Source organism: Homo sapiens, chromosome 17 (assembly GCF_000001405.40).
Source record: "Homo sapiens chromosome 17, GRCh38.p14 Primary Assembly".
Classification (NCBI taxonomy): Eukaryota; Metazoa; Chordata; class Mammalia; order Primates; family Hominidae; genus Homo; species Homo sapiens.
This window is the reverse complement of record NC_000017.11, coordinates 33,002,955-33,016,074: the sequence shown is the minus strand read 5'-3', so window position 1 is coordinate 33,016,074 and position 13,120 is coordinate 33,002,955. Positions and strand designations below refer to the sequence as shown.

Below are 13,120 nucleotides of genomic sequence, written 5' to 3'. Positions count from 1 at the left end.
CCGGCCTGACCAACCCCTTCCTGCTTTTCTTGCAGCTGATCAAAGAGAAGCTATTAGACCTGCTTGGCAAAGAGGAGGACGAAGGGAGCCACGATGAGAATGTGGTAAGAGCAGCTCACTGATTGGAAGTTGTTCTGCTGCTCTGGCTTGTACCGGCAGTACAAAACCAGATGCTGGGGCCGGGCAGGAAAGATGTGACTCACTGCACACCTTTCCATGGCTTGGGACATGCTGTCAGTTCCCAAATCCAAGGACACTCCAGCTGAGCCTCGAGCCTCTCTCTGAGAGTCATGCCAGAAGCCAGTACGGATGCAGCAGACACCAGGAGGTGCTTCCAAACATAGGAACTGCCTGGCCCAATCCAGCTTCTCCCAGGCAGACAGCTGCTTCCCCCATCTCACAGCAGGGGGAGAACTGGACAGGCTCTGTACATCTACTCCCTTATTCCCCAGTGGTGGCAAAGTACAAGCAAAGCATCATTGGCCCTCCATCCCATTCGAAAGGGATAGAGTATGGAGCCCCATGAAGTTGGTAGTAGCAATAGTGCCCATTATAGCTACTGACTATTGTATGCCTGGTACGTGTCAGGCACTGTCAGGCACTTTGTATTTGAGGCAGTTGAGGCCCAGAGACCAAAGTCCCACAGCTGCTGAGTGTCAGAGCTGCCCTCCAAGCACTTCTAACCACTGCCCTACTCTGCCTCTCTTTCCTATAGCCCGAGGGCAGCCCCTCTGTGGCTGTTGGTCATTCTGCTTCCAAAACTCAGTCTACTCCTGGGCTCAGGCCTTCGCTGATGGGTGCAGGTGTCGCCAGCTTTCCCCATCCAGCCTTGGGCCCCAAATCAGCACCTCCAGCCCTGGAAAACGGTGCCCATTGAGTGACCACCACCCACTTAATATCAACAAATCCAAAATGGATCCCAGCCCCTTCTCCCTATATGGATTCCATTTCTGTTCCACACACTGTCTACAAATCTTGCTTTGATTCTCCGGTCCCCTGCAGCCTCTGTGGAACGGAAGTGGGGAAGGGGAGGGCAGTGTGGAAGGGGCCCACGGTCTGGCATCAGCTGGCCTGGCTGGATCCTAAGGCTCCGGCTTCCTGGCTGTGTGCCTGGGGGCAAGTTACATATTAAACCTGTCTAAGCATCTGCATCAGATCAGACTGCAGGGGGCTGTCATCCGAGTTCAGTGAGATCCTGCCGGCAAAGCAGTCAGCACAGCACCTAGTTTATAGTAAGTGCTCAGCAAGTGGTTCCCTTTGCACCCCCAGAGCCCTCCTTGCTTCAGAAGGTCTCAGCGTCACAGCCTCTTCTCCACCCTGTTTCTCCTCCCCTAGTTGTGGCCCTATCAAATCTTCCCCAAATTCCTGGCACAGCCTCCTGGCTAGCGGTGCCCTGCTCCCATCCCTCCCAGCCTCCCACCCACCACAGCCTGGGAACCACCCTGAAGATTCATGTGCGGCCAGCTCAGCCCCTCCCCGCTTAGGGACCCACAACTACATTGCCCTGGGTCCAGCTTAACCCTAAAAGTCCTTGGGGCAGCTCTGACCAGCTCTGGCTCTGAGCTCTAAGGCCTTCTACCGTTTCTGCTTGGCCTCAGCCATGGGTCCTCCCTGCCCCAGGCTTAGCCATGGGCTGCACTTCCTGCACCATAGCCCCGAGGGAGGCCCCCAAGAGAGAGGTCAGGACTCAGACCATCCAGCCCCAAAGCTACAGACCACTCAGATATAGGTCCAGTTACATGAGGGGCACCTCTAAGAGGGATCAAACCAGCAGCCAATCAAACCAGGGAGCCTTCTCACTGCCATAGGGGGCACCCAGGTGTGCAATGGTAAGGATTCCATTCAGCCTCATGCCCCCAAGATGGTAAACTAGCCTATCAGATGTCTGGAGCAGAAGCAGCCCACAAGTGGGGAGCACCTTCCCCAGGGCCTAGGCTGGGCCGCTGGTGGCATCATGAAGAATTTTTGCTGAGCGAATAATAAACTCCCACCAACCCTTCCCTTCCAGAGTACTTGTGACACAATGCCAAACCACTCTGAAACCATCAGTCACACTGTGAACGTGCCCCTGCAGACGACCCTGGGGACCTTGGAGGAGATTGCCTGCTGACACCCCTCGAGTCACCCAGCACTCCCTCCAAACAGACCTTGAGGCCCAAGACCCAGGACAAGGAACAGCAAGCTCAGGTGGGATGGCCCCAGTGCTGGAAAGAAGCAAGAGCCCCCTATGCACACATTGCAGACTAGCTGCCTAGACCTCGCTCCGGCCACGTCCAACACGACGCATCCTTGGGCCCCGCCGTGCGTCCCTCTTAGGAGAGATGAGTCACACTCTGGAACTGTCCAAGAACGAACCTGCCATCACATCTCACTGCCAGATGTATAAAGCACCTGCATGCTCAGACTTCTTGTGGCGCCACCTCCACGTCTGTCTTGTACATGACACTCCTCCACGCGGTTTCCAGTGTCCACACTGCTGCCCGTGCAGTGGGACCAGATTCCAGGTCCAAAGTCACCATGAGGCCACCCTGGAATCAGAACTGCACAATCAAGAGGGAACCCATGGGACTCTCTGCTACATTCAGTTCTTGTGTCGTTTGTGAAAGTTCTTAACCTGCCCAAAAACCCCCTTTTCCCCAAGCTGCCCATGGGGCTTCGGCGCCAAAGGTGACCCGCGCCAACCTCCCTCCCCCCCAGTGCCTATGACGGCGGCACAGCAGCCAGCGGGTGGGGGACGCCTGTGTTCACCCATGGTGCCCATGTCGTTCTTCTCTCCCTGTGACACAGCTTGTACAGTCTGATTCTTTTTATCTGGGGTAGGGGGGCTTTTATGTTTGTCCGATGGAGATTTGTTTTGTTTTGCTTCATTTTATGCTTTTTTATTTTAGTTTTGATGTTCTGAGGTTTGCTTTGGTTTTTCCATTTTCTTTGGCATTTATTTATTCGTGCTTCAAATCACAGTCATATTAAAAGCTGGTCTTGTGGAAATGGCTGAGTTATTTCTGCCTTTTCTCCACATCCGAGTCTCTCTCCCTCCGGGGCCTAGGAAAGGGTCGGACCTGCCAGGTCAAAACTGCAGACTGTGTATATGTAAAGTTTTACGCAACAACACTTACTTTTACAAAATGTGCATACTCTATATGTTTATTCTAAAATTTTTTAAAGATTGCTCACAACTTTGTAAATGTCTTCAAGTCCCACTGATGAGTCACAGCCCGCGTTCTGAAGGAGGCTGCCCTGGACCCACAGGCACGTGGCCTGGAGAATGCTGCTCAGACATGGAAACTATCAAGAAGGCCTTTGTGTCCCCCTGTGATCTGTCTGCTACCCTGACCCCTCCTGACCCCATCGGTGAATTTGGGCTGGACACAGGCCCCAGCATGGCCTCCCTCCCACACACGAGCCTTCCTGGCCTCCCCACCCCCAGCAAACTGACCTGCCTTGTCCCCCCAGAAGCCACACTGGCACTCTGCCTTGCTCCCCATGAGTTCTTAGAGGTGGAATGAGAGGTTGGGAGGTGCCTTTTGGTGTTACGGACACAGGGCATGCCCTTTTCAGCCTCCAGGTGTGAGAGAGAACTTCCTGATCAGGCAGAATCCTCATCCTTAGCACCATGCTGGTTCCATAGCAGCAGTTCCTTTAGCCTAATCTTTCACTTTCCCTCCCGGCCCCCACCACTCCCCCCTCAAAGTCTCTCCTCAAGCAGTGAAGAAAGGCCTAATGTGGCTGTACCTTTCCCCTCAAGCACAGGTGCTCAGAAAGCACTGGCTAGACCAGGGGTTCAGGGTTCCAGTCCTGTTCTGCCATCCAACCTCCCTATCTGTCTGTCTCTCCTTCATGACCCGCTAACACAAGGAAAAGTTACTTGCCCAGTGTGACAAATGGAAGAGTCTCCCACCAGGAGTTATGAGCCCTGGCCCCACAGCGTTCTTCTCTCAGTAGCTGTGTGACAGTGGGTGAGACCATGCACATCTCTGGGCACAGCTCCCTCAATTTTTGGATGAAGATAATACCTTACCTGTGTGAAGGGAAGATGCAGGACCAGATGATCTCCTGAGACTCAAAGTGCCATAACAGCACTGCCTCCCCTGCCCAGTGGGATGCTCACGCCCAAGCATGGCCAGGAGCTGGCAGTCCTGGGGACTGTAGAAGGCAGCTGGGACAGAGCACCCCTGTGATGCCTCCTCCCAAGCATTCTCCCAGATGGGGCTGCCAGCTGTTAGCTAAGCTAGCTTTTATTCTTAGAGAGTGTAAAGTTGCCAGAAAGGGTCTTGTATGGTTTTCTATCACTGCCACTGCAAATAACTACTACCCTCGTGGCTTAAAACAGCACAAATGTATTATCTTACAGTTCTATAGGTCAAAAGTCTGACACAGGTCTCGCTGGGCTAAAACCCAGTGTCAGCAGGGCTGCATTTCTTTCTGGAAGCTCTACAGGAGGCTGTGTTTCCTTGCTTTTTCCAGCTTCTAGAGGCTGCCCACGTTCCTTGGCTTGCAACCACTTCCTCAGTCTTCAAAGCCAGCCATAACGGGTTAAGTCCTTCTCCTGTCACAAATCCACACAGGCACATCTCCCTCTAACTGTGACTTCTCTCATGCTTCCCTCTTCCATTTTTGAAGAATTTTTTTTTTTAGACAGAGTTTTGCTCTGTCACCCAGGCTGGGGTGCAGTGGCATGATCTCGGCTCACTGCAACCTCTACCTCCCATGTTCAAGCGATTCTCCTGCCTCAGCCTCCCGAGTAGCTGGGATTACAGTCATCCACCACCATGCCCGGCTAGCTTTTGTATTTTTAGCAGACTTGGGATTTCACCATGTTGGCCAGGCTGGTCTCAAACTCCTGACTTCAAGTGACCTGCCCACTTCAGCCTCCCAAAGTGCTGGGATTACAGGTGTGAGCCCCCATGCCCAGCCTTTAAAGAACCCTTTTGATGACACTGGGCCTACTGCATAATCCAGAATAACCTTCCCATCTCAGGATTACTAAATTAATCACCTATTCAAAGCCTCTTTTACGATGTAAGGTCACATATTCACTGGTTCCAGGGATTAGAATGGGGACATCTTTGGAGGCCATTACCACAGGCCCACAGGCCTGCTGGATCAGGTAGCTTAATGTCCTCATTTTCCAATTGAGCAGACTCTCAAGAGGAGAGGAGGGCCTGGCCTAGGGTCACACAGTGAGTTAATGGCAGTGCCGAAGCTATACCCCTAAACTCCCAGGTTCACAATTCCATTTGTAGACCCACCAAGGTGACTCACTTTAAACAAGAAGGACTGACAGTGATCAGTTTTCCAGACTTGGCCAGAGTGTGAAAGTCCCTCCACTGAGACAAACTCACCCACGACTACATCAGGCTGGAAAATGCCCTGCTGGTATCTACACTGTCAGATACAGAAGAACAGGGATCCAGAGGTTAGCCTTGGACCGCTCCTACCAGGGACAGGAACCAAATGAAATGACTGTTCAATTAGTCGGGAGTCTCTCTGATGCTTCTGCCTCGTTCCAGTTTAGCAGCTTCTTAAATTTTTTAAAAATCTATAGCTTAAATTACAATTTGAACTGCTTCGTTGGATTTCTGGCTTCCTTTTCAGAAAAAAAAATTAGATCCATTTGTGATAGAGCAAAGAATATTTAGATGCATTTGGATTGCTTCAGGGCTCACAGATGTCTGCACCCATATGGATTTGAGGATTCTGGCTTTGTCCGGCTTAAACCAGGTCTACATTCTTTACCTGTTTAAAGAAAAAAAAAAGGAAATTCAAGAGAGCAAATCAATAGGCAGCTACTGATTATTATTAATTGGCTGTTAACAAAAGACACAGTCTAAATTCCAGTGGGTAGGGGAGTGTTTTTATGATCCTCCCATCAAACAAGTAGCTATTTGTGCAATCATTTCCTTAGTGTGGACCTGGGGAAGTCTGGTGGAGAAGGGAGACTCAGGGAGTTGTCCCATTTTCAGGAGTGACCCAAAAGATGACACCAAGGCTAGGAGTTTGGAGCAATCACAAGTCCAAACCACAAGGTTGAATTCTCAGTGACTTCAGAGGATTGGATCAATCAATTAATTAGTTAATTAATTAATGGCACATGACCCCAGACACGGGATCTTGGGGATGTACAGCAGCTGAAGAGAGTGAAATGATTGAGCCTCGCTGTGAGCATCCATTGCCAGAGGACTGGGCTAGTTGCTCGCACACTGTTTTCTTGTTTTTGGCAGGGACAGGCCGGAGTTATTTTATTTTCCTCGTTCCAGCTTGAAGCTATTTTTGTGAGAGTTTTCACCATGAACGCTGCTAGTGAGAAGCTTGCGGAGCCACAAGCACTGATGAGGGGGAGACAGAGGGTCTCTGGAGAATGGCTCTTGGTGAGCTGGGAAGGAGGACGTCGCAGGCAGGCCCTGCCCACAGGTGTGATCCTGGTGGGTAATGTGTTCCCTCAGGTAAAGCTCAGCACAGCCCACCTGAGCCCACAGGCCCAAAGGAAACCTCTTCCTCCACAAGCTCAGAGATTTTTATTCAATTTTGAGAACCAAACCCTGAACGGGGCTGAAGGCCTCCATAAGATCCCAATGAATCAACTCCCATGTGACAAAGAAAAGCGGGCTCAGAGAGGGCAAGGAACTGCTAAAGCAGCGGGAGAGAATGCAGCCAACCCTGACCCGCACACAGCCAGGGCAGACCCTCCGCTGCACAGAACAAGCTCTCTGGCATAATAGGGAAGGCAGCAGGGGAAGAAAGAAGGGGCAAATGCAGGAAGGGCCCAGGTGCATCTGCCATGCCCTTGTATGATTGACTGCTACCTTGCTGGGCACTTGCAGTGAGGCAAGGAATTTCTAATCTGAGCAAGGAATACTGACAAGTAAACAGAAGACTGCAAAAGATGAATCTGGGTTTTCCAGTTGAAGGGAAGTGAGAGAGCAGCGTATGGGAAGCCCAGGAGGCTGGAGGAGGCACAGCCCAGGGGATTGCACACAGGTCCGGGAGAACCCAAGCAAAGACATGAAGGGGCATGAGAGGTAGGCAGGTGCTGAAGGATGAAGGGCCTGGCCACCATGCTGAGAGGAGTGTCACGGCTAAAGTCCTTCAAGCTCTTTCCTTTGCTCCCCAAGAGGCTATGAAGACATTTCCCAAACCAAGGGTTGATTTCTTGAGCTAATGCCTTTCTCCCCACTCATTGGAGATTCTTAGCCTCTTAGCACATGGGATCTTTTTGTGCAGCATTTATGTATTCCTAAGGCTAACAGGTTATTCTAGGGGGCATGAGGTTCATGGGGACATGAAACAGGACTATAGGACCCAACCCTGCTTGAGGACAGGTGGAAGGAGGAGAATCTCTTACTAATTCAATTTAACATTTGATGAAACCAGTACTCACTTGTTTTTCAAGAATAAAGCAGTGGGTTGGAAAAGGCTTTGGTCAAAGTCAGAAGACTGAGTTTTGTTTTTGTTTTTGTTTTTGTTTTTATTGAGATGGAGTCTGGCTCTGTCGCACCTAGGCTGGAGTGCAGTGGCGTGATCTCGGCTCACTGCAACCTCTGCCTCCTGGGTTCAAGCGATTCTCCTACCTCAGCCACCCGAGTAGCTGGGATTACAGGTGCCAGCCACCACACCTGGCTAATTTTTTGTATTTTCAGTAGAGACGGGTTTCACCATGTTGGTCAGGGTGGTCTCAAACTCCTGACCTCAGGTGATCCGCATACCTCGGCCTCCCAAAGTGCTGGGATTACAGGCGTGAGCCACCACGCCCAGCCAGAAGACTGAGTTTCTAATCTGTTTCTGCTGCAAACTGACCACATGACTTTAGGCCCAGTTCACTTCACTTCTATGGGTCTCAGTTTCCTCCTCTACAAAAGGGAAGGAGATGAAAATGGACAGATAATCCCTTTGGTGCCTCCCGACTCTAACAGTCTATGAGTTGAAGTTGTAAGTGAATGTCAGGCATCTAAGCAAATATTTAATTGACTGCTCAGAGCCCCCATTTCTCCATCTATAAAACAGAAATGCTGATGCTTAGTTTTCAGGCTTATTATGAGGATTAAATAAGTTTAAGTGTATAAAACACTTTCTATCTTTTCTTCTTTTCTCTTTTCTTCCCGTAGAACATTGATGTTTAATCTTGTTTGGATCACTGACTCTTAAAAATAAGATGAAGCTGTAAATTCTCTCCCCCCAAAATTGCACATGGTCACATAGATATACGTAAAATTTTGCCTACAAGCTGGGTGCAGTGGCTCACACCTATAATCCCAGCACTTTGGGAGGCTGAGGTGGGAGGATCACTTGACTTCAGGAGTTCGAGACCAGCCTGAGCAACACGGCAAAACCCCATCTCTGAAAAATACAAAAAATTAGCCAGGCGTGGCAGTGCATGCCTGTAGTGCCAGCTACTTGACAAAACAAAACAAAATTTTTGCATATAATTTCAGGAGGGTTATGGATCCCCAGAGCCCATCTGTGATCCTCTAGGGGTCCACCCATGCTAGGCAAAGTCACCCTGATCGAGAAAGTGCTAAACAATCCTCCAAAAGAACGCCACAGTACCACAAAATGCAACCAACATTTCTTCTCCTAAAATCACATAATGACTGTCATTTTTCAATTTACAGAAAGAAGAAAAAATAAAAGGATAGATAGCATTTGATCAGTGTTGTTTTCTCCCATAATTTTTTTAAACCTTTGGCACCTGCTGCAGCTTGTGCGTTCTCACAGATGGCAAAATGAATGAACGAGCAGAAAATGAATATGAACAGAAAAACTTGGAAACGTGATTTCATAAAATTATTTTATGCATGTGGAGATTTCGAGGGCTGAAGGAAAAGACCTGTGTACATAAGAAGCAACCATAACGTCCACTTTGCAGACACCCCCATGGCCTGGTTCTTCAAGAACATGCCCCCTGCATGCCCTGCACCCGGGAATGCATGCATAATGTTCGCTGGCTGCCACTGAGCCTCCAAACATGCCCCACTGCTGACATCTCATTTGTTTCTGAGCAAGGCCACAATGGTGTTTTGCTTTTTGTTGAAAAGAAAATCCGCCCCCTGATAATGACTGTGAGTGATGCTTTGGGTTGGAGAATTTGGATTTTTTGCCTCCTTGAAGCTGTTCTCTCCCCCATGCCTCTGAAGGAAGTGGCAAACTTATCACCATTATAGGCCATTTGTCTTTAGTGTAATTCTGCCTTTTGTGGCTTCTTTACAAAAGCAGTTCTATCTGAGTTAAAATAGGCCCAATACAAAGTGATTGGTGGGCACCAAAGCACACCCAGCTCAACCAGCCTCCCGGAGGGAAACTTCCCAGTACCATGCTGGAGTCTCTGCCCTGACCCCATCACTCCACAAGCATTTTCTGTGTGCTCACTATGTGCCAGGCACTGAGTTAGGTACTGGGAATTCATATATCAAGAAGACACAGTCTAGGTGGGCAGAGGTGGGCAACAGGCATGTACAGAAACACCTGAACGGTATGGTGGCTCACGCCTGTAATCCCAGCACTTTGGGAGGCTGAGGTGGGCAGATCACGAGGTCAAGAGAGCAAGACCATCCTGGCCAATATGGTGAAACCCCGTCTCTACTAAAGATACAAAAGTTAGCTGGGCGTGGTGGCACACGCCTGTAGTCCCAGGTACTCAGGAGGCTGAGGTAGGAGAATCGCTTGAACCTGGGAGGCGGAGGTTGCAGTGAGCCAAGATTGCGCCACTGCACTCCAGCCTGGAGACAGAGAGAGACTCCGTCGAAAGAAAGAAAAGAAAAAGAAAGAAAAGAAAGAAAGAGAAAGAAAGAAAGAGAGAGAGAGAGAGAGGGAGGGAGGGAGGGAGGGAAGAAAGAAAGAAAAGAAAGAAAGAGAAAGAAAGAAAGAAAGAGAGAGAGAGAGGGAGGGAGGGAGGGAGGGAAGAAAGAAAGAAAAGAAAGAAAGAAAGAAAAAGAAAAAGAAGGAAAGAAGAAAAGAAAGAAAGAAAGAAGGAAAGAAAGAAAGAGAGAGAGAAAGAGAGAGGGAGGGAGGGAGGGAGGGAAGAAAGAAAAGAAAGAAAGAAGGAAGGAAAGAAAGAAAGAAAGAAGTAAGGAAGGAAAGAAAGAAAGAAAGAAAAAGAAAAAGAAAGAAGGAAAGAAAGAAGAAAAGAAAGAAAGAAGGAAAGAAAGAAAGAAAGAAAGAAGAAAGAAAGAAAGAAAGAAAGAAAGAAAGAAAGAAAGAAAGAAAGAAAGAAAGAAAGAAAGAAATAAGAGAGAGAGAAAGAAAGAAAGACTTGAGCAGCAAGAGCTACAAAGGTACCCAGGGCACAGTGTGCTCATTGCGGCAGAAACACCTGGGTCTGGTTGGCTGAGTCGGAGCAGGTTTTGACTGAAGCCTTGAGAGATGGGTAGAAGTTGCCAGGCAAGCAAGTTTGCAGAACAGATACCTGGGCAGAGACTTGGAGGCAGAAGAGAAGCTGGAGGGCTTGGAGAATGATGGATCCCCTGTGGATAGGTGGGCTATCTCTCCACTGCCCCCCACCCCTCAACTGTGCCTTCCCACTCCAGGGGGCAGCCTGCTGAGAGTCCAAGTGCTAGTGCAGCTATGGCAGCTGGGACAGCTGAGGATGAAGCATGGCCTTGGCAACCTGGCAGCCCCATCCAAGTCCCAGCTCCGGCCAACTGTGCTTCCTTGGGCAAGCTCTAGAACTTCTCTGAGGTTCAGTTTCCTCCTAAAAATGGGGATGACCATCTCAATCTCCTCCGGATGCTGTGCTGCTGTGATGGCCAACATAGGGTAGGTCAGAGATGATAAAGAGGTCCCATTCTACATGCCAACTCCATCGAGAGTGACTACCATTGAACTGTCAAGAAAGATTCCTTGGCTGGGCGTGGTGGCTCACACCTGTAATTCCAGCACTTTGGGAGGGTAAGGTAGACAGATCACTTGAGTTCAAGACCAACCTGGCCAACATGATGAAACCGTCTCTACTAAGGATACAAAAATTAGCCAGGCATGGTGGTGCGCACCTGTAGTCCCAGCTACTTGGGAGGCTGATGTGGGAGAATCACTTGAACCCGGGAGGCAGAGGTTGCAGTGAGCCAAGATCACACCACTGCACTACAGCCTGGTCGACAGAGGGAGACTCTGTCTCAAAAAAAAAAAAAGAAAGATTCCTGGACACATGCCAGCTCAGTAAAGACAAAGGCTTGTACTCAGTTTGCAATGTCTGCCATAGGCACAGAGGTGATGGGGTCCAGGAAATTCTGGGTGCCCTCTGACTGGCCCACCTCCCACAGTTTCCCTACCCTAGAAGCTTCAGGCCAGTGCTCAGAGTGGAGAAAAACCACCATACCCAGCTGAGGGCATGGACCACACAGAAAGAGCACCCCGCAAAGCCTCCTTCAGCTGCCAGGGGCCTCTGCCACCCTCACCTGTACCTACAGGTAGAGAAGGGACAGCACCTTAGCAAGCCAATCATCCCCAGGAACATTCAATCCACCCTTAGCACAAAAGATATAGAAAAGCCCATTTTAAATCTGTCTCCTGCAGCCAAACTAATCCAAGAAGGGGGAGACTTACGAAAAGTAACAAAAATTCATTGAATTCTCCCCTACTTTCCATAGGACTGTCTACTACTTTTCCCAAACCATTCCCCTTCTCCTCCTTCTCCTCCTCACACCTTCCCCTTTCTCTTTCTCTTCTTAGCAAACAATGAGAAGGACACAGTACAGGTCTCCTAAGGAAGCCCTGGTCACTGGGGCAGGCATGTCCTGTTCCCACCCATTCCTCCCCAGGTAGGTTGGAACTTGCTACCCCCAGAGCTCAGGAAAACCAGATGAGCCAGCATTTCTGAAGCCCCACTCTGTGCCAGGCACTATGCTGGGCGCGTCGCTGCTCTATATTATGGATTACGATGATAGATTACAGGTGCAATTGATACAATATTCCAAGGTGGCCTTCATTTGCTCCTCTTGCCCATGAGGAACACTGAGCTCTGAGAGGTGGAGTGACTTTCCCAAGGTCAGGTGGCTAGGAAAAAGGAGAAAACCCCATTGCTCCACCTCTGCCAAACTGCCCAAACCATGCTGAGCTCCCTCTACACCACATATGGGCAAGAAGGAGGCAGGCAGGACTTGTATGAAAAGCAGCCAGGGTGGTTACCTGGCTGAGGGATAGAGAGTCTCCCCAAGAGAGGGATCCCCGGGGGCATGGGGCAGGGGGTGGCAGTGGGTCCATCTGGAGAGATGCCTAGGGTCTGGCACATAGGTAGTGATTAAGTAATATCATTGAATCAATTGTTGCATATTAGATGGTATCAAGCCCCATTCACTCACTGATTCTGCAAACATTAGCTGAGTGCCTACCATTCATTCATTCATGCATCAATCATGCATTCAACAGGTTCTTTTTTTTTTATTGAGTATAATGTGCCAGGTACTATTCTAGGTGGTAGACATATAAGGAACGAACAAATTTTCTGCCCCCATGGTGCTTACAATCTAGCATAGGCAAGTGAAAAGGGGATATACATAAATTCAGAGGTGCATGGAATAATTTCAGATAATGGAGCATGCTGTAGTGCCAAGATAGTGACAAAGAGGGGAAAGACTCCTTCAGCTACAGCAATCAGAGAAGTCACTTTGAGGAGGTGAAACTGAGACAAGACCTGACTGAAGAAAAAGGGAGCGTCACCCAAAGGTCTGAGGAAATGCATTTCCACAAAAATATCAAAGTATTAGTTGGGTGTGGTGGCGTCCACCTGTAGTCCCAGCTACTCAGGAGGCTGCAGTGAGCTATGATCGCACCACTGTACTCCAGCCTGGGCAACAGAGTGAGACCCTATCTCAAAAAACCAAAACACATGTATACATGCATACATATGTAAGAAACCTGCACGTTGTGCACATGTACCCTAGAACTTAAAGTATAATTAAAAAAAAAAGAATACTATGTGAGAGGCACAGTTCAAACTTGACTGGAAGCAACAAGATCTGAAAGGGCGGTGGAAGTTGAAGATATTACAGAGACCTTATAGGATGGCTGTGGCAAATGGAGAGGAAAAAGTCAAAGATGACAGTATTTTCAAATTTGAGTGACTGGAAGAAGAATACTAAAATTAACATAAGTAAGGTAAGGATATTGTTTCAGGAGGATGGAGTGTGGC

The 13,120-nt window shown here is 49.1% G+C and overlaps 1 protein-coding gene across 2 annotated transcripts in view, besides 1 other annotated feature; it reads left to right on the top strand.

Annotated features, from left to right (window-relative positions):
- The window catches only part of ASIC2 (acid sensing ion channel subunit 2), a 1,143,682-nt gene extending 1,140,694 nt beyond the window's left edge, over positions 1-2,988 (top strand). For both annotated transcript variants that reach the window (NM_001094.5, NM_183377.2), the window contains exons 9-10: positions 36-104; positions 2,009-2,988. In NM_001094.5, coding sequence (NP_001085.2) covers positions 36-104; positions 2,009-2,110 — 171 coding nt within the window. In that variant the 3' untranslated portion in view covers positions 2,111-2,988. The remainder of the gene's footprint in view (positions 1-35; positions 105-2,008) is intronic.
- Positions 1,297-1,798: an enhancer, noted in NCBI's record as "H3K4me1 hESC enhancer chr17:31341295-31341796 (GRCh37/hg19 assembly coordinates)". NCBI's record gives its function as "activates a minimal SCP1, AML or CMV promoter by ChIP-STARR-seq in naive H9 embryonic stem cells {active_cell/tissue: H9 hESC(naive)}" and the evidence as "EXISTENCE:reporter gene assay evidence [ECO:0000049][PMID:30033119]".